A 20,816-nucleotide genomic window follows, 5' to 3' on the forward strand; every position below is an offset into this window, starting at 1 on the left:
TACTACTTACTACCATCTGATATGGTACACGTATTTACTTTTCTGTATGTCTGCCTCTCCCCACTAGAATGGAAACGGGTTTCATTTTCTTTCTTTTTTTTTTTTTTTTTTTGATGGAGTCTCACTCTGTTGCCCAGGCTGGAGTGCAGTGGCGCCATCTCGGCTCACTGCAAGCTCCGCCTCCTGGGTTCACGCCATTCTCCCGCCTCAGCCTCCCGAGTAGCTGGGACTACAGGCGCCTGCCACCACATCCGGCTAATTTTTTGTATTTTTAGTAGAGACCAGGTTTCACCGTGTTAGCCAGGATGGTCTCGATCTCCTGACCTTGTGATTCGCCCACCTTGGCCTCCCAAAGTGCTGGGATTACAGGCACGAGCCATCATTTTGCTCACTGATGTATCCCTAACAACTTGAACAGTAAATATCAATTTATAAGTGATGAATTTTGAATCTATGAATACTGAATGTCTTACAGTTCATACATTGCCCTTTGATGGGACATTAAAAAATTTTTGAATAGAAATGTGTATGTTGATTTCTCTCCTTGGAACTCCTTTCACATCCTTTCCCACCCTTACTTACTCCCCTCTCCAACTTTACCTGGATAACTCCAATTTACACTGGATGACTCCTGCAACGGTTCACCTCCTCTTTTCCTCTAGTTTTATTTGGGCTCCTGTAGGCACCTCACTCTTTTCTCCACATAGTCAGTTCAAAAGTGGTTTACAATATTTATTTTATTATAATATAACTGAACACATAATTGTTCATCTTTTTGCTTGACTTTAAAGGATCCTCAGCTTTCCTGTGGAAGTTCTAGCATATAATGAGTTTAAATAAATAGATAGGATGCATGAATTAATGAATGAATAAAATAAATTACTAAATGGCACACCTATCAATTGAGTGCCTATTATTATTTAAAGGGGGCTAGGAAAATCTTCTCTTTCTTTCTTATAAAACAATTAGGAAGAAACAACAACAAAAACTGTTACGCTGACCTGCAACAAGTACCAGACATTTTCTATTACAGATGCAACATTTTGGACATTGTGTAGTCCAACAGAAACAAACAGTATGAGTGTTTAAATGAGTTAATATACTATATTACGTCCTATTTTAATTACTATATTATTAAAGAAACTAACAGTTACTAATAATTGCTGTTGATTGCTATCTTATATGTAAAGAAAGGTAATTTCTCTGAAGGCAGTTAATTCAGTTAATGAATACTAAATGGTTGGAGTTGGCATGGGTGGCGATGGAGAAGGGACAGGGATGCTACAAGGGACAAATGGTGTCTTGTAAAAGTACCAGAGTGCCAGGGTTTCTTCCCAGTTGCACACTCCAGGTGTGCCATCTTATTAATCATTGAATTCCTAGTATGGAACACACCGCGTGCTATTTAATTAAGACTGACACTTTAGCTGAGGCTTTAAGGAAGCATTGGGTTTTCATGCGATAAGGGCAAAGAAACATTATGTAAGAAAACTCAGTCCTGAGTGAGAAAAGCAGGTTTAAGTCACAGCAAATAGTTGGATATGGGGTGCATAGGGCAGGGAGATGGAGCGAATAGGGCTGTAGGCAGATGCTATAGCCTACGTGACATGGTGCTTCATGGCCATGGAACTCTGATTTTATCACCTTCTTCACTGTGACTCTGGATCCTGGAGTCTCATAAAGGTTACTTCAGGTGGGAATGAATGTCTCAAAAGGTGGGGATGACTGCAACTCCATGTACTCATGTATCTCCAGCACCCATGCCCTTCACTAAAGCAACTCTGCTTTAGCTAGCTTTACATATTGAGGATTTAAGTTTGCTTGAAAAATAAGTTTAATTAAAAAATGCTCTGACAGTTGACAGTGAAGGCCTGAAATTTAGAAACCCAGGAGTAATATAATCAGGCTTCTGTTTGAAAGAACGTTTTGGAGATGGGAAGTCAGGGCCTGCTCTGAGAGCCTGCTAATTGATAGTTTATGATGAATTAAACTATGACACTGGCAGAACGTTTGGGAAGAAGCAGTTACAATGAGTACTAGAGAGTATTTTGTGATTAACTAAATATGGGAAGTGACGCAGCGGAAGGTGGGAGGATTCCAGTATTTTAGGACTGGGAAGTGGATAGATTCTTGGATGCTATTCACCAAAATAGAAGGTAGGAATAGTAGCAGGTTTGTGCAGAATCTAATTAATGAACTTTCAAACACAGTTAGTTTGGTATCTAACTGTTTGAAAGATTTGGACATCCAGACAAAGTGTTCCATCTAAAATACAGTACGTAAATATTATTTGTGAGCTGTGTAGGTTGTGTGGGGAGTAATTGAGGTACGTTATGTCTGACAGTGCCAATTTGTTATATGATGCAAAAAAAGTCATGTGTTGAAATGAGAAGACATTTAGATAAACTTTAAAAAGTTTAAAAAATCAACATAATTGATCTCGGATACAGTGCCAATAATAAATAATTTTTACATTGTTTTAAAAAAACTGAAGAAGTGTTAAGGTCATATAAACATCGGGTAGTAGGAATTTATAGTGACAGATATCTGCATATTTATTAAATTTCTCTTAGGTTATGTTGAGTGTTCAAGTTGTAGGGACTGATATGGGAGATGACAATTTTGATTGACGGTTGAGGTTGTGAGCCTCAACCATCTTTCTGCAACCATGTTGTAGAAAAAGAAAGATTCCAACTGATTTTAAAAGTGTATAAAGAAGGAAATTAACAAATGGTGGGCCCCAAGGATGGAAGCAATATCAGAAATTGGTCATTGAACTGGCAGAGACGAGAGATTAGAGACCTGACATTTGCAATGACACAGAAGTGGTATGAAAAAGCTGGAGAGATAATGCATTAGCGATATCTTCAAAAATCAAAAGTCAAATATGGAAACAGTAGTAGTGACATCATTTTTAAATAGGTGATAAGAGGCACTTATATTACAACAAATTATATTACAAAAATAAGTCATCTTCTTCATGAAATGCCAAATGGATCATTACATATTACAGTCAAACAAAACCCAGCTATACATATGCATATGTATAAATACATACAACCTTTATGCCTATTTATAATTATTTTTAAATTTTTATTCTATAAAAACTAAATGTTTTGCTTTTACTATGTATCCTGTAATTGATTATCATTCAGTAGTGAGCATAATTTTTTTTCCTTTTCAGTTTTGTTTTTTCTTGAGAAGCCCTTATTTTTTAGTTGCTGTATAGAGTAAAAGACTACCTACTCTATTCCTGCTGGAACTGTGGTAATGAAATATGGTGAACTATAACAGCATAAACCAAACCAGATTGTAGCCCCTCTCTGTTCAAAAGTCTGTTATTTTTCAGCCACAAAAACACCTCGTTATACATTAGATAACAGATTATTGCAAAGCAAGATTCTATGAATGGAAAGGCATTTCTTTTGTCAGTTTCTGAGTCAAGGCTACTTCAGCCTTGAAAATTTTATTGTTGTCTATTGTTCCTTCTTCCTCAGGAAAAAAAAAAATAACTATCAAAGGTGGGTCTGAAAAAAAAATAGGGTTAGATATAGTCCTGGACAAGACACTATGTACTTAGTTGTAAAATGTGGAGGCCAAGCTTTGAAAAGGAATCAGAGTTTAATTAATCATTGCTGCATGAGGACTACATAGCCCATATTCCTTTCATGTAGTCTGTGTAGAATGCGTAATTTTCCCAAATTCAAGTACAATCTGTTTTTCCTTTTTTTTTCCATTTTGAAACCTGATTTGATTTTTACCCCTAATAAATCTGGCATCTTCTATTCAGTAGATAATATAGGCTATTAGAAGAAAAGGAAGTTTTAGGTTTGAATTTCTTACAAAATCACCTAATTTATCAGAATTGTTCTCTTTCTTCCATATGTGATACAGTTATTTAGACAGACAACATTATCCAGAAATATTTTCTCTTCTTTCTCAAAACTCAAGGACAATATTGTATCTTATAGAATTAAATACAGGACAACTTTCTTATTTAATTCAATTTAAGGTATGTGTGTGATACATTTATAGCATGCAGCAGAGAACAAGGAAGTTTTAATTTCTAGAATCATTTTAAAATGTCCAACCCAAAACACTATTAAACTGTAATACTACACATTAAGAATAGATCCACTGAAACTCATTCCGAGAAAAACAGCAAGTGCGGTGAGGCCTCTCAATTCATGATTGAAAGAGAATTATTTAAGAATCTAAAAATATTTTCTAAGAAGAGAAAAATGATGATAAACATATTAGTCACCATACATCTTAAAGGGCTATCATGTGGAATATGTACACTTGCTTTAAAAAAGCTTCTATCAACATGTGATTACTTTATGAAAAATAAGTTACATCATTAATAGATGGGAAGGCCAGACGCCATGGCTCATGCCTGTAATCTCAGCACTTCGGGAGGCTGAGGCGGGCAGATTGCTTGAGGCCAGGCATTCGAGACCAGCCTGGTCAACATGGTAAAACCCTATCTCTACTAAAAATACAAAAATTGGCTGGGCATTTTGGCATGCTCCTGTAGTTCCCAACTACTTGGGAGGTTGGGGCAGGAGGATCTCTTGAATCCAGAAGGCAGAGGTTGCAGTGAGCCAAGATCATGCCACTGCACTCAAGCCTGAGACCCTGTGTCAGAAAGAAAGAAAGAACAAAAGAACGAAAGAATGAAAGAGAGAAAGAGAAAGAAATAAAGAAGAAAGAAATAAAGAAGAAAGAAAGAAAGAAAGAAAGAAAGGAAGAAAGAAAGAAGGGAGAGAGGGAGGGAAGGAGGGAAGGAAGGAAGGAGGGAAGGAAGAAAGGAAGGAAAGAAGGAAGGAAGAAAGGAAGGGAAGCAGTACAACATAAGGCTTAATATTATGGACTCTTCATCATATTGTCTAAGTTTCATTTATGGCTCAACCATCTATTTCTTAATTACATGTTCTTGCATTTTTATTTATCAGAATGTCCATTATTGAACTTATCTCTATACCAACACGTGTGTGTGTGTGTGTGTGTGTGTGTGGTGTGTGAAATGGAGTCTCGCTCTGTTGCCAGCCTGGAGTGCAGTGATGCGATCTCGGCTTACTGCAACCTCTGCTTCCTGGGTTCAAGTGATTCTCCTGTTTCAGCCTCCCAAGTAGCTGGGATTACAGGCGCCTGCCACCATGCCCGGCTAATTTTTTTTTTTGTATTTTTAGTAGAGACGGGGTTTCACCATGTTGGCCAGGCTGGTCTCAAACTCCTGACCTTGTGATCTGTCCACCTCAGCCTCCGAAAGTGCTGGGATTACAGGCATGATCCACCGTGTCCGGCCTCTATACCAACAATTCTATATTCTACTTTGTGATACTAGAGCTGGGACTCGCTAGACTTGTGGCTCTCCTGGGATCCCTGAGCTCCTTGCAGGAGATTTTTAAGGTCAAAATAATTTTCATAACGGTATTAAGATATTATTTGCTTTTCTTACTCTTATTCTCTTTTGAATGTACAGTGAAGTTTTCAAGAGGCTATATGACATATGATCCAGTAACAGAAACATAGCACCAGATGTAATTTACCCAGCTGTCTTCCATGAAGCCAGGCATTAAAGAGATTTGCAATTATGCAAAACAATGCTACCCTTCTTACTATTTTTTGTTTGTTTTTGAAAATAGTTATTTTTCATAATAATGGGTTATTTTTTGTTAACAGGTAGTGGTTTGATTCTTGTTATTTTTGGAATGTCCCATCTTTAATATGGCAAATATCAATAGATATCATCCACATAAACATAAGTTCCTTCAGGTCTTCAATTTTTAAGAGTTCACAGAGTCCTGTGATCAAAGAGTGAGAAACACTGCTGAAGACATTTCTTCATTGCCAGTGGATTCCTGTTCTATCCATAGAGGGCGCTAGAGAGAGACGAGAAGGCACAGGGGTTGGGGCGGTGGGGTGGGGAGTCGCGGGAGAAGGGGCTGGACCCAGCAAGAGAACCTGCTGCTCCTGTTGAATCTCTGCAGCGTTTCAGCCCGGTGGCGGTAGCATGTTGTCTCTACCTGCAGACTCTAAAGCAGTGTAGGCTCTAGTCTCTAGCTCATGTCCACACCAACAAAAGCACAATGAGCTCCCTGCTAAGCAATCTGGGACAGGCCACGGTGATGCACCCTCCTCAGAGGTCTGAGTTCCTGGGCTATAGACTAGTCTTGAATTCCCCAGTTACCAGAGGCAGCCAGGAAGTATCACTTCCACAAAAGTCCAAGGGCTAGGTTTGCTAGGCAACCCCTCACCTCAGAATTTCATCCTAGCTCCAAGGAATCCTTTCCTCAGGGCTTCTAGGTGGTGATTACTGCCATCTAAGGGCAGCACATGTTTCCTTGAGTCTATCTACATCACCTGTCTTCTCTTTTTGCTTTTTCAATCCTTTGAAACAGCTTAACCAATTACACTGTTTTACATTGGGTAATACAGTGAAATCTCTGTTTTCTTGACTGGAGGGAGATTGATACAACAGGTATTAATGTAAGTATGCATCTCTAAAAAGCTACCCATAATGAGAGAATCACCATCTCTACGGTGACACAAATTTACAGTATCTAAAAGAAAAATCAAATCTCTGTTCTGAGCTTACAAATCTAAACATGTGAAAGTATATTGGCAATTAGCAAAATAGATATTAAATATTATACCTTTTTAGATATAGTTGCTTTGTGACCACATTTTCAAATACTCAGCAATCTATACGTATCTAGTTATTTAACAAGAGCAGTTTTCCAAATTTGATGGAAATATGTCTTCAAATTATTACCTATACATAGAATTCTAAAGCAAGTGATAGATAAGGATAAATTATATTTTCTCTAATTAGCTATAATTTTACTGGAAACATTTTAAATGAGTCACACAATCTTATTGTAAAAGTCTAAACCCTGTAACAAAACAATTTTTATGCAAATCATCATTCATCTTTTATGATAACTAGATATTTATTTAGCCTTTGAAATTTGTACTATATAAATGTTTAAAGTAAGTAAACTTACCGCCTGATAGGAGAGCAGGCTTACTTTTTACCATTGGACTAGAATGAGGAAACTTGTTGCTAAATGACATGAAAAGGTGTGCAGTGAAATCATCAGGAAGCTCGGCTTCCAGGAATGTCTTCATGAATAGTTTGAAACCTTCAAAATCTATTGTCTGGAAAAAAAAAATGTAAACATGTATTTTAAGATCCAACCAAATGTTAAAATTCTGTGCTGTGTTCAAAATCATTAGAAGTAGAAATGACCTCAAACCATTTTTATATCCAAGTTTAACAAATGGAAAGTGCCTATTTGAGAAATAGGGTGGGCCGTCCTGGGCTAACACTGGCAATGGGATATGTTTGTCTTACCTGTGATGGCATAGCAGGAAGAGGAAGAAGTTTCTAGTTAGATATTTCTATTTCCACAGTATCTGTAATGCCTTGAAAAATGTACTGTTTGAAACTTAGTTTGCTCCTCTCTAAACTGGGAATAATAATCCCACCCCACATAGTTGTTGCAGTGATTAAATCAGGCGATCACTGTGAACAAGCCAATACAGAGTCATATAAACACAGCAGGCACTCAGAGAGAAAGGAATTTTCCATATTTTTTGCTTGTCACTAATGGTGATTATCGCTTTTGACAATGTAAAAAGAGGTTAACCTTAATGTTTCAACTAAATGCCAAGCTCTATTGATAAACCTAAAACTTCATACGCAGACTTTCCAAAGAAACATATTTTAAGATCTTACTCTCTGATACTCATTGCAGAACTATATAAATGATTAGACATTTATTTGGAGAGAATTGTGGTGGTGTTAAGGTTCTCCATGCCCATTAGCGGAAATGGTGATGGAAGACAACTTCCAACCTCAAGCTTAATGAGAGCGTTTCACAGGAGCCATAGTGAAGAGCTTGGTTTCTCCTTGCAGATGAAGGCAGTGCACCAGGATTTGACTCTGCCTAGGAAATTGAGGACAAGCACATGGGTGCTTTGGGGACAAAGGCAAGAAAATGGTACTATTTTAAGTTGGCCAAAACTCCTCGTTTTGGACTGCAGGAACAATGGTGCATGAGTATTTTCTGGGAAACAGATGTAGACCACATGGAGGAGAAGGCCAGTGGAGTGGTCTTGGGTTCTATCCAGTAGGGCATTTGAAAGGACTAGAAGACCTACAGAGAAGAGGCTGGAATAAAGCCACATATGTCCAGATCAAGAGAGTGCAAGGGATGGGCTTTATAGGTAGCCCTTGAAGGCCAATTTTTTTTTTTTTTTTTTTTTTTTTTTTTACCCAGTTTAATGTGCTGAGATGCAAGAGGAAATTTGGCTGGCTGATGCTCTTAGTTTTGTTCACATTGCTGGCAGGTAAGAATAAAATTAACTTTGGAATAGAAAGTTTGTTTTTCCTATGTAATAATACTGGGGGAAAGACATGGAGATTGACCGAATTTATTATTGTATTATTTGGGACAAACCTAATATTAAATGTGACATTCAGGAATATCATTAGACATAGTAAATTTTTATAGATTTGATCATGTGCCAATTAAGTTTACATACGATGTTTGCTTTTTACCTAATAGAATCTCAGGCAATAAAACCAAACACTTTATTTATCAATAGTCCCAAGATTCTGCCTATACCTTAATCTAACTTTTTTATTTAGTTTCACTTTGCTTATTGATTCTCACAAGGACACTTCAGATATTTATTTTGCTGGCAGTAAAAAGACTTCATTTTCTTCTATATTTCATAAATTACTACCACCACCATAGAATATTGTCAATTCTAGCCCGGGAGGTGGAGGTTGCAGTCAGCTGAGATTGTGCCACTACACTCCGGCCTGGCGATAGAGTGAGACTCCGTCTCAAAAAAAAAAAAAAAAAGAATATTGTCAATTCTAGTAGTAGAGTGAACTATATAACTAAAAACTCTGAGTAATATAAAAAATGTGAAGAATAGCCTCAGGTAGGAGAAGTACTTCCAAAAAAGCAATTTGCTACAATGAATTCAGCCAACACTTAAAAACATGGCGATTAGGCCAACAGTCAGACATGGGATCCAAATAGTTTCCTTGAAAAGGAACACCTACTCTTACTAAGAGAGCTCCTTAGAGATGACCTATTAAAGAGAAGTATTCCACATTCATTTGGGTGAGTGACCAAAATTGATAGCTAATCTTCAACATGTATGAAGGCCCATGAGGAACCAGGAGTTGATTTTATTGCAAAGTTGCAGGAAGTCTGTGGGATGAAAATATTCACAAGCATTGTGGTTAGAAGCAAAGTTACTTATGGTAGCGCTTCCTTCTGTTCCTAGGTCTTCCATAATCAGTATTTTGTTTAGCAACATAACAGATGATAAGGGGCATGGTCTTTGAAGTCAGACTACCTGGATCAACTCTTGAATCCAACACAAGCTGTGTCACTGTGGACAATTTAAGCTCTCTGTGCCTCAATTTCTTCATCTATAAAATTAGAATAATAGCACCTACTTCTTGATTTGTTAGGAGGAACATATTATTTACTATTTTTAAAGCATCTGAATGACATCTGGCACATAGTAAACATTGTATGTAATTAAATAAATTTTTGTGTAAAGAATATCCATTTTAAAAATTCATAATTTGAAACAATATTTGAAGAAGAAGCCTCAAAGCCACATTACTTCACATGTTTTCATATGCATTTAACAAACCATGCATGGTTCATTGTTGTCCTTGTTGCTGCTTTAAAAGCTGGTAATAAAATGTGAACTTCCAGAAGTAGTAAAGGACTAGAAATTGGTGAAAGTTTTTCTCTGGATCTGCTTTTGGACCATAATTATACCTTAAAACAGCTCTTTCAAGCCAAGACTTTAACTTGGTAACATAACAAACAAACAAAACAAACAAAAACAAAGAGTTCAGAATAAAGCAATTGTGTTTCAAATTCTAATACTTCCACTCACCACCTAACTGATAAGGGGCAAAGAATTTATCTGCTCTTTTGAAGGAAAAATATGCCAAGTCCCAAGTGTATGCTCTTTACAGAGCCTTTCAGAACCCATGTCGATGCTCATTAAAATCGCTGCCTGTAATTTAACGATGAAAGCCAGAAAAATAACCAACCAAAAGGAAAAATGAACTTTAATATCTAACGATAGAGGCAGGACACAGACAAATGTCTAGGCAGGTAAGGGAAGGTCCCCGGAGAACCTCCAACCTGCCCAGGTCACTGTGCACAGGAGGCCTGTCTAAACACGCCCATGGTGAAAAATTCTGTCCCATAACACATGCTCAGTAAGGGAAATAAATCAGTGTGGGGTGGCTCAGACTAAGGGCTCACATGTGCACTGGAAAAATGGGGTGGAGCTACCAGAAATTCATGCTCTATGCAGGGGAGAATCTTGGCCTCTTCAGCTCATGTGTGGTGGCCTGGTATTCAATTTGTGAGGTGGAAACCCGAATGCAGGACCCTCTCTTTGTTGAGAGCTTTCCTTTCTCTTAATAACTTCCACCCTCTTTACCCTTCAATGTGTCCGCATGTTTAATTTTTCCTGATCATGAGACAAGCACCCAGATTTAGCTGAATTAAGAAGCAAAAATTCCTGCATCATTTGATGGCCTATATGGGGATATGAGGAAGAGCGAGTAAAATGCGAACCCAAGAATCTCTTTCACTTTCGTTTCTGGGCCTTCCAGTCCTCAGACTTTTTCTGAAGGCAGAGGAAACTGCACCCCTTGCGTCACTCTTGGGTTTGGGAATGTCGGCCTCAGTCCAACCCAGTCTTTGCTATGGCATTTTTCTTCTTTTTTTTCCCAGGACTGTAATGGCACCTATCTTTTCTTTTACAATATCAGGAGTGTTCCACCCCAACCCCAACTGCTGCCACATAGGATAGATGCGGAAGTGGTGGCTCCCTGCCCTCCCCCACGTTCCCGCCGTGCTGGGGCACATGGCCGTGTGTCTGCGTGTCTGCTGTATGTACTTTCGGCATCCAACAGCCATGCAGGGCGGGACTGAGCCGCAGCTGCTGCCCAGGCCCCAGGGCAATCTTGGGGGCTAGAGGCCCCGTGCAGACAGCTGGCCAGCGTTCCCCGCCATGCATCCATACAGTCTTCCCCTCCCTTGGCCAAGGAGTCCAGCTCAGTGGGACAACAATTAAGTTTCTCTCTGTTTGCATAAGAACAAGAGGTTTCTTCCCCAGGCATTTCCCTGCCCTACGCTTAAGCCTTTTTTTTTTTTTTTTCTCCACAAGGTCAGGAGTTGATGGATTGGTGTGAAGGTAGTTACAGTTTTTGCTATTACCTAGATTGGCAGGGACCACAGTTGATTTTGCACCAACCTAGTAACACAGCCCTGTGAGTACAGGGGGCTTCTCAATGCCAGAGGATTTTTCTTGAAAAGTGTTTTATTAGGCCAGGACTCCAATTCACAGGACACCCTTTTCTCTCCCTTGTTTGAGAGGACCCAATTTTAGAGCTTCACCTTAGCATTTGGCTTATGACAAGGAGGCAATTCTTTTGTCCCAAACTCAATTCCAAGCTTTGGGTTGAAGCCCTAGGAAAGAAAACTGGATCTTAGGGATCCAGAGGCAGACAACAATGGAAGTTAAAAGGCAAACACCACAGATGAGCATGACTAATTCCTGCTGATTAAGCCAAGCCTCCCATATCATGGATAGAGGTCATACTAGTATCCATGGCATAAATTAGGTGTAGGGAACTCAAAGGCTACTTATAGCAGGGGGAAAGGCAGTGAGTGCACGGGGAAGTGCGGATAATCCCACCCCCTAGGCCCAACTGTTAACATGAGTGAAAGCTGCATTGACACCCATGGGTGGCACCCTGTTGTGGTCACCAGGCCTCAGGGATATAAGGATAAAAGAAGGAAAGAGGAAGCTTTTTCCTTCTCTCTCTCATGTACCCTGGGCATTCGATAGGAAGAGAAAGGAACCAGGGATGCCTTGCTCCTCTTTCTAGATGAGTAGCCATTCGTCTTCAGTCTGTGCACCTTACAGATGCATTCTGAGCTGGGGGGCTCCTTTGAAAAAAATGCCTTCTTTGTCCCCCTTGGTCCTCTCTTCACAGATGGTTAATCCTGTCTCCATACTACAGGACACTCCTCTCGGATGCATCCTTCAAACTGTGAAAAGTTTATTTCTCAACCCTTAAACTGGTTGGCTTAGAATTGAGCTCAGGGGAGGGGAACCCAGAAGGCTGACATGCTGGCAAAGAGATAAAATATTTTTTAACAGTCAGACTTTTGGCCTCCCTCTCCCTGTGCAAACCAGTAAAAGGAATGGTAGGGATATATTCTCCGTAAAGTTTTGATTAATCAAAAAGTATTTATGAGGTTGGTCTCAAGCTGTAGCCAATCTGTTGTGCTCTGCATGTCTTTCTATATGGTTCTGTCAGAAAGAGGAGTACCTTAGGATGGGATAAGGACCTAGGACCCCATAGCCCACTATTCAAGTCAGCCTGGCAAACTGCCTAGTATGTTGTTTTTGTCTCCGCTATTTTACGGTGGCAGCCTGGGATCAATCCTGGCTTAGGGAATGAGTAGTTTCTGGCAAATACCTGTGTGACTTCTACCATTTGCTGATTCTCTCCTGCTCCATGAACAGCTTCTAGCTTTCTTTTGTGAATCTTCCTTTCTCTGAGCTACACTTAGACGTTCTAGTTTTTGTAAAAACTGCTTACCACCCCTTTGAAAATACCTTGTATACTCGCAGTTAAATCATAACTTTTTGGGGCTTGTTGGTTTCACCTGTAAGGTTACTGTTGGTAAAGTTCAAAAGCCAGAAATATGAGTCATCTGGCATGGCTAAAGTTGGGTAGCTAGGGATTTAAAAGGATTTTCTTAAAGAACGCTCAAGTTAATTAAAAGTGGATATCCAAGCTATAGGTATATTTAAAAGACCTTTATGTTTTTTTCTTCATGGATCTTGTTTTTCTGAGAAAGGTTTTTTCCCCAGTCAACTGAATTGTCTTCCTCCATTTTATCTTGCCACTCTTAATGAACTCATGAGAGACCCTAAGATAATTTCTGATGAACAGAGACTACTTGGGAAAAATGGAAAAGATATAATGTATTCCATTTTTGGAGAAACCTCTGTTTTCCTCATGGAACCCCAGTAATTAGAGGCAGATAGATCCCTTTCAAAATCTGTTTTTGTCTTCCACCTGTATCTGCTTATTAGGTACTGTTACCTCTGTTTCTTGAAGGGCTCCACCCTCAGGCCAATTATCCAATTAGGAGATTGGCAAATGAAAAATCTTACAACTACTGGATCTTCTTCTGTCTGTCTATGTAGTTATATATGTGATTTTTATATAAAAGCACTCTAATTAATTGGCCTAAAGAAAAATAAGCATTAGATCAAATATTTTTTCAAGGAAAATACAAGCTGTAGTAACTTTTAGTTCATGTAGCTTTAATCTTTGAGAAATAAAAAGTCTTAAAGATTATTGGTAAAATTCAAATGTCATTAAAATTTAAATAGGTGGTCTACATTATGGAAGTCAGATACTAGGTTCGCTAAATGTTTTAAGGTTGTAAACTGCTTCTTTGGCCTTAGAGAACTGTTCAACTTGCCTGCTTTACAACTTGGTAAGGCCTGAGGACATACTGAATTAACCAAGCCCTTGAACAGGCTAGAAGGAATCAAACTTTATTGGTGCCTAGTACATAATTAAAACAACTTATCAGATTTTACATTAAAGTTTAAAATTGCTAAGAGTTACCATTATAACATGTAATTGAGACCACCACTGAAAATAGATTGACATGCAAGGTGTGTAAGAAGAGTAAAATGTGTTTTCAGGAAAAGATTGTAAGAAGGCATGGAAATCCAAGTAACTTTTTGCCTAGGGTTAAAGGATTGTTTTAAATTAGATAAGGTCAAGCTAAAGGTTTAAATAGTTGTGGAAGGTTTCTAAATTTAATATTGCAAAAGAAATCCTGTGTATGAACATTGACTAAACTCAAAGGATATTATATGTTTTTTTCTGTAAACTGAGCAATGAAATAAAAGCACAACAAGGTTTTCTTAAGGTACTAATCTGTTCTTTAGCAAAATGTGTAAAGGGTTATAAAAGGTTTTTAAGAATCTTACCTCATGGTCCAACTGGCTTAGATTGGATAGAATTGTCTATAAGGTTTCATTAGAAAATTGGGATTAATAGTAAACTAATGTAAGGGTAAAATTTGGCTCTCTCTCTCCCTTGTTGAAGATTTCTATGTAATATTAATGAATAATGAAAGATTTTCATGTGCCTTGTAAATAGACTGCCAAGGAAAAGAAAGAGAAGACAGGAGACAAACTGTTTGGAAAGCTAAGTCCTTCCTCTTGATGAGTAAAGGTTTTCCCTATTTTAAAATTTTTGAGTCATCATTTTAACAAAATAACCAACTGGGATTGTATTTCAAATTATCAAGTGTTTTAAACCTCTAACATTTAACAGGCTTCCCCAAATCAAATTTCAGCTTCAAGGTTGTCTTTCCTGACCCCTAGCTTTTGGATGCTACAGAGGGTCCCTAGAGCATCTAGAAGAAGAGAGGTAAACAGAATAATTTAACATGGTTAGGTACATGGGATCTCCAAAATGATGTTTAATTTTCTTCAGGTTATATTTTAGTGAATAATGCTAACATATGTTCCAGAATTTTATGGGATTTCTAAAATTCTAATGTTTGAGTGTATGCTATCAATCACAATTAAGGTTGTTATATTAAGTTATTGTAAGCCACAGAGATAACCACATTTTGTCAATCACATTTCTGACTGTAACTACCCTGGTCATTTTGTTATTCATAAACAATTGTCTTCTTTTGATCCCCTTCAAAAGATGGTTAATAATCAGCTATAAAAGTTTGATGGGTGTTCTCCAATACAAGTTTCTGATAACTTTGGAGACTCTAACACTGGACTAAAGGGAAAACGTACAGGACTCATGAAAGAGCTGAAACATTCACGAATATCAAGCAGAGCATGAGTTAACTGAATGGACTGAACTAATAGAAAACTGAAGTAATCTTTTTTTAAAACCTTTTGCTTGAAACATTGCTGGTCCTTGTTTTGTTATTCAGAGTCAAGAAAACTTTTATTTTGAGCTATTTACAGTCTTTAATAATTGAGTAAGCTATACTCATGTGAACAAAATTTGGAGCATACTTCTTTCTCTTTGCCTGGTTCTTCTAGAATTTGGAAACTATCTGTGAGTATTCTTAACTTATGGCAATATGGTTATTTGCATCAGTGCAATAGGAATTCATTTTCTCTGGCAACAGTACACAGTTGGAGAGATGGGTTGTTTTACCAAGGCTTTGACTGGAGAGGTGTACTTCCTTTTAAGGAATCAAGCTTGAGTTGCAGAGTCAATAAAAGCCCCTTGGGAAAACTGGCCTCATACCTTGTCTACACAGTCCTCATACAGGGTTCCTAATCTGTAATGAGTAAAGAATGTCACTTTCTAATGGGCCCAGGAACTCTATATTCTAGGAACCTCAAGAAGAGAGGAATTCACCCAATTCATAGGTATTTGAGGGTGCTAACCCATGGCTGGGCTGGGCTTTCCAAAGTCCTATCTGAGATTCCTTATGGAACAGAATTCCATCAAAAGCAATTTTAAAAGTGTATGTAAGAATAATTATTCTTGCTGCACTTTATGCAAACTGTCAGGCCAAGTATAAGACTGAAGTCTATTTTGCAAACAACTCAGTCCTATCATGAATTGTTTTTAACAAAAATGAGGACTGGGGAGATAAAAATTATGTTTCAAAACTTACCACACATTTGTCATTAAATTCTAGTCTCATTAGTTGTTTTGAATTTTTTTTTGCCTACATTTTACATTAACCCTCTTATTCCTGTGAACCAACCAGCAATTTCTGGCTACAACTCAGAAGAAACAAAAGGCATGGGTAATGTAATAATCTGGATCAATATTTTAATTCTGAGCAGTTATCCTGCTAATCCTGACATCTGATAGGAGTAAATAGGGTGCCCATAACCCAGAGGTTCCTCTGGGAAAATAAGACCAAAGGAGCAAACCAAAGCCAAGCCCCATGCAACCAATCTTAGCAGGCATAATTATAGCCACCAGTTATCTGGGCATGCTGACAGCCTTGGGATTTTTCAGCTGCCCTTACCCATCCCTCTTTGTTTGGTTTTAATATATGTCTTCTAATAACTCCGTTTGTCTCTTCTCACCTTCAGGCCATCAAACTCCAAGCGATCATGCAACCAGAGTCTCAAACAATGGCCCCTTTTAACAGAGACCCTTAAATAGGCTTTCGAGAGAGTTATGACTGCCATATTTCCAAAACAGTGCCCCCTAAGAGCAGGAAGCAGTTAAGATCAGTCTTCGTCCCTATTCTAACTGCAGTACCTCTTGTGTACCACTTTAGAGGGAAGAATAATAGAAGTAGGAGGCAAATGCCTAGGCAGATAAAGGAGGGTCCACAGAGAACCTCTGACCCACTCAGGTTATTGAGCACAGGGGGGCTTGCCTAAGCATGGTCACAGAGAAAAATTCTGTCCCTTAACACATGCTCAGTAGGGAAATAAATCAATGTGTAGTGGCTCAGACTAAGGGCCCACATGTGCACTGGAATGATTGGGCAGAGCCACCAAAAATTTGTGCTTTATGCAGGGGAGGAGCCTGACCTCTTCAGCTCATGTGTGGTGGCCTGGTATTCAATTTGTGAGGTGAAAACCTGTGTGCAGGACCCCTCTCTTTTCTGAGCACTTTCCTTTCACTTAATAAATTCTGCCCTCCTCAGCCTTCAATGTGTCGCATGCTTAATTTTTCCTGGTCATGAGACAAGAACCTGGATTTAGCTGAACTAAGGAGCAAAAATTCCTGCATCACTGGCATTTCTCCTAATAAGCAACACATTTCTTCTTGACTCTTCTTTTTTCAGCATGCAGGAAAACTTTCTGAAATTTCTAAAGTATAGTTCTCTCTGGCTCAGCAAGCAAAATACTGTTTTATTTTCTGACAGCTCTAAGCCTTAATTCCCTCTATATAAAGTGGTATATGAAATCATTCATTCAGGCTGGGCATGCTAGCTCATGCCTGGCACTTTGGGAGGCTGAGGCAGGCAGATCACCTGAGGTCAGGAGTTCAAGACCAGCCTGGCCAATGTGGCAAAACCCCGTCTCTACTAAAAATAAAAAAATTAGCATGGTGGCATGTGCCTATTGTCACAGCTACTTGGGTGGTTGAGACAGGAGAATCACTTGAACCTTGGAGGCAGAGGTTGCAGTGAGCTGAGATCACACCACTGCACTCTAGCCTGGGTGTCAGAGTGAGACTCCATATACAAAAAAAAGGAATCAATCATTCAGAGTTGTCCCAATATGATAAAAATTGATGTAAAGCACTTAGCATACACTTGGGCACATAATATATAAAATAAATAAAAGGATTAGGTTAAAGGAAGAACTGTCCTCAGCTTAGATACATTTTTAAGTTACTTTAATTTTCCTTTTTTTATTTTTTTGAGACAAAGTCTTGCTCTTCCCCACCCCATGCTGGAGTGCAATGGCGTGATCTTGGCTCACTGCAACTTCCGCCTCCTGGGTTCAAGCAATTCTACTGCCTCAGCCTCCCGAATAGTTGGGATCATAGGTGCTCACAACCACGCCCAGCTAATTTTTGTATTTTTAGTAGAGACAGGGTTTCACCATGTGGGCCAGGCTGGTCATGAACTCCTAACCTCAGGTGATCCATCTGCCTCGGCCTCCCAAAATACTGGGATTACAGGTGTGAGCCACCATGCCCAGCCAATTTGCCTTTTTATTGGTACAGAAAACTGTAAAATTCATTGCATCTTTCTGAATAAAAACTTCAGGTTTTGTGTGTCTCAAATACTTTGCTATAACATTTCTGTGTCAGATAACAGAGACAAATAACAACTTTTATAAGGCAATAATTCTAAAAAAAAAATCTTCCTTTGAAAAATAAAAGCCTATTACAGATATAAGAATGGAGTAAAAATTTCCTCAATTCTTAAATTATTTCTACAAGATGACATCACATTATTTATTGCTGAAGTGTTACTGACAATGTAAGCTTGTTTCTCAAACTTCTTCACTGTGTTCTTTGGAGCAAAATTAATTTATCTCACATTTTCTGGCATTAGATAGGGCTTGCAATGTGGGAAAACACAAACCTCTTTTTTTTTTTTTTTTTTTCCTAAGAGAAGGTCTCTCTCTGTTGCTCAGATTGGAGTACTGTGGCCCAATCATAGCTCACTGCAGCCTCAATCTCCCAGACTCAAGCAATCCTTCCACCTCATCCTCCCCAGTATCTGGGACCACAGGATTGTGCCACCATGCCTGGCTAATAGTTTTTTTTTTTAATTTTCTAACTCAGAGTTTTCAATTCATTGAGAAATGTTTCTTCAATGTGTTTCCTGGTTAACCCGTCCCTTTTCTTCTCTTGTTAGTAAAATCTTTTCAAATATCTCCTAAAATTCTATGTTGTCCACATTATTAGACATTTCTGATAAATGGATGATATCTTCATCTGTACATTTTCCTTAGATCATGACTTACAAGAAAATTTCCAAATTTAGGCATCAGAGTTTCTATTGCTGTCATGTAACAGCATTAGAATTGCTTTTTGAAGACTGTGACCTTTAAATAGAATGAGATCATTTATATGCATATCAATGAAGCCATTAATGATACAAATTGGGTCAGACTTAACTGAATGACTATTCAAAAATTGAATTGCTGTGGGCTCAAACACATCCACGCGCACGCACACACACACACACACACACAAATGTTCAAAATTTTAAAAACTGCTTTCTCATTTTTTTCCTTAAGGAACAGCCACAGACTATTTAGGGAGATAACAGAGAATTTGTAAAGAAGACTGACTGAGGGAGCTGCTCAGATGTCGCTGCCAAATTGGCACAGATTCAAGGCACATTTCTATATGCCTTTCATTATTATTTCTGACCATCTGGATCCTTTGTTTTTAAATCCCTGTTAATACTAAAGAGAAGACACTAGTATTCATCCATGCAGATTCAAAGTGAATGAAAATAAATGTCATCACTCTATCCTTAATTTCTTTTGGTAGTTTTGGGTTGTAGATTTTCTCATATTCAGAAAGTGTTCTTTGAGCACCCACTCTGCACCAGGCTCTGTTCTAGGTGTTTGGGTAAAGATGTTACTAGAACACACAAAATTCCTTCCATGAGGGAGCTTATCTTCTAATGAAAGGAATAAGAACAACATTAATGTGCTCAATCTACAATGTCTAATGGTATTAAATGCTATAGAAAAAAAATAAAGAAGAAAAAGATTTCTTGGGGGAATGTGCTTGCAGTTTTTTAAATCCAATTATCAGGAAATGAGAAGCTATTCTTTGAGTAAAGATTTAAAGGTGATGAGGCACATATTTGCACATATTTGGAGAAAGCACATTTCAGGCAGAGAAGACAGCTAGTACAATGGCCCTGAGGTATAATGATGCCCCTGTGCTAGAGAAATTTCCACTGGAGCCAGTGAGGAGGAGCAGGAAATTGGAGCAGGAGTGAGGGAGGACCAGAGTAGTAGAATACAAGGTCAAAGACTCAAGCTGTGGCAATGTGTGGACTGGGCAGAGCATACAGGATATTAGATCATCAAAAGAGAGTTATAGCTTTAATGTGGAGTGAGTTTTTAGTAGGAAATTCCATGATCTGACTCATATTTTAACAGAACCATGTGACCATTATAACACTTATTTGTATCAGACAAAAGATAGCCTATCATCAGTTTTTATGTTTTTCTAACTAGCTCACCACTAATTAATAAGTGACTCCTAAAACACAAAAATGAATCATTCAACTATTATAGATAAAGCAACTGTTTGAAACCACAAAGAAATCACTTTATCTATCAACCAATGTTGACTGAGTACCTATATGTGTAAAATACTATGCGCTTACTGGGCAAAGAACTCTGATGAAATTAACTAGATAATAATTTAAATTAATCAGAGTTTTTTTTACAGTTCCATTTCTATTTCGCATTCTAATTTATATCATTAACTAATTATATCAAACTCAAAAATTGATATGAAGGTCACTGAGCAAAAGTATATTGATTAAATATGCAGCATGGCTATCTTACTGAGATTTCAAAATACAATTTTTTATGTTAAAATTCACTTAGAAAAATTTATATTTTAAATATTGCATTTCTTATGCTTATCTTGCACTGCAATTGACTATTCATTATTTCAAATTTCAGAGAGTTCCTTGATAGTCCCCTAAAGCTGTCATATAGATAGTTCCTTTGAAGAGAAAGAGTACAAAGTGTGAAAACCTTGAATTTTAATTTTTAAATTAGTTTTGGCAAATGAAAACTATTTTAGCACTTCAGAGTCACATACTCCATTAACTCTACCTTTACCTAAGACTAGAATTATGAAGACTCAGTAGAAAGACAATTAGAAATATATTATTTTAGTAAAAAATAGGAAATGGCCGAAAGATAATGCTACTACATTCTACTAATTACAAAAAGCAAATAATGGATTCGAAAAAGTTTAAGCAGAATATTTTTACTATGATTTCAGTATGTCTTTTAATCAAGGATCTATAGCTAACTGTTTTATTCTTCAGCTGAAATCTATTTTAATCTGGTGTGACACTGTCTTGTCACACCAAACATTTTTTGGTGTTGTCACTAGGACAGGAGTGAGTGTTACTGAAACACACACATAAATCCTCTAACATTTTCTCCTTGAAAAATAAAACCCAATAAAAATGTCTTGGAAACCTTTGTATATATAATTTCAATTAATAAGATCAGTTTTTAATTATTCCTTACTT

The 20,816-nt window shown here is 37.9% G+C and overlaps 1 protein-coding gene across 25 annotated transcripts in view, besides 1 other annotated feature; it reads right to left on the reverse strand.

Moving 5' to 3' along the window:
* Positions 1 to 20,816, reverse strand: part of DGKB (diacylglycerol kinase beta) — an 829,810-nt gene that overhangs the window by 583,982 nt on the left and 225,012 nt on the right. For all 25 annotated transcript variants that reach the window (XR_001744571.2, NM_001350722.2, NM_001350711.2 and 22 more), the window contains one exon: positions 7,011 to 7,164. Coding sequence is in view for 24 of the 25 variants with exons in the window: in NM_001350722.2 (NP_001337651.1) it covers positions 7,011 to 7,164 (154 nt within the window). In the remaining variant the exon portion in view is untranslated. The remainder of the gene's footprint in view (positions 1 to 7,010; positions 7,165 to 20,816) is intronic.
* Positions 10,957 to 11,473: an enhancer, noted in NCBI's record as "H3K4me1 hESC enhancer chr7:14779612-14780128 (GRCh37/hg19 assembly coordinates)". NCBI's record gives its function as "activates a minimal SCP1, AML or CMV promoter by ChIP-STARR-seq in primed H9 embryonic stem cells {active_cell/tissue: H9 hESC(primed)}" and the evidence as "EXISTENCE:reporter gene assay evidence [ECO:0000049][PMID:30033119]".

Source organism: Homo sapiens, chromosome 7 (assembly GCF_000001405.40).
Source record: "Homo sapiens chromosome 7, GRCh38.p14 Primary Assembly".
Classification (NCBI taxonomy): Eukaryota; Metazoa; Chordata; class Mammalia; order Primates; family Hominidae; genus Homo; species Homo sapiens.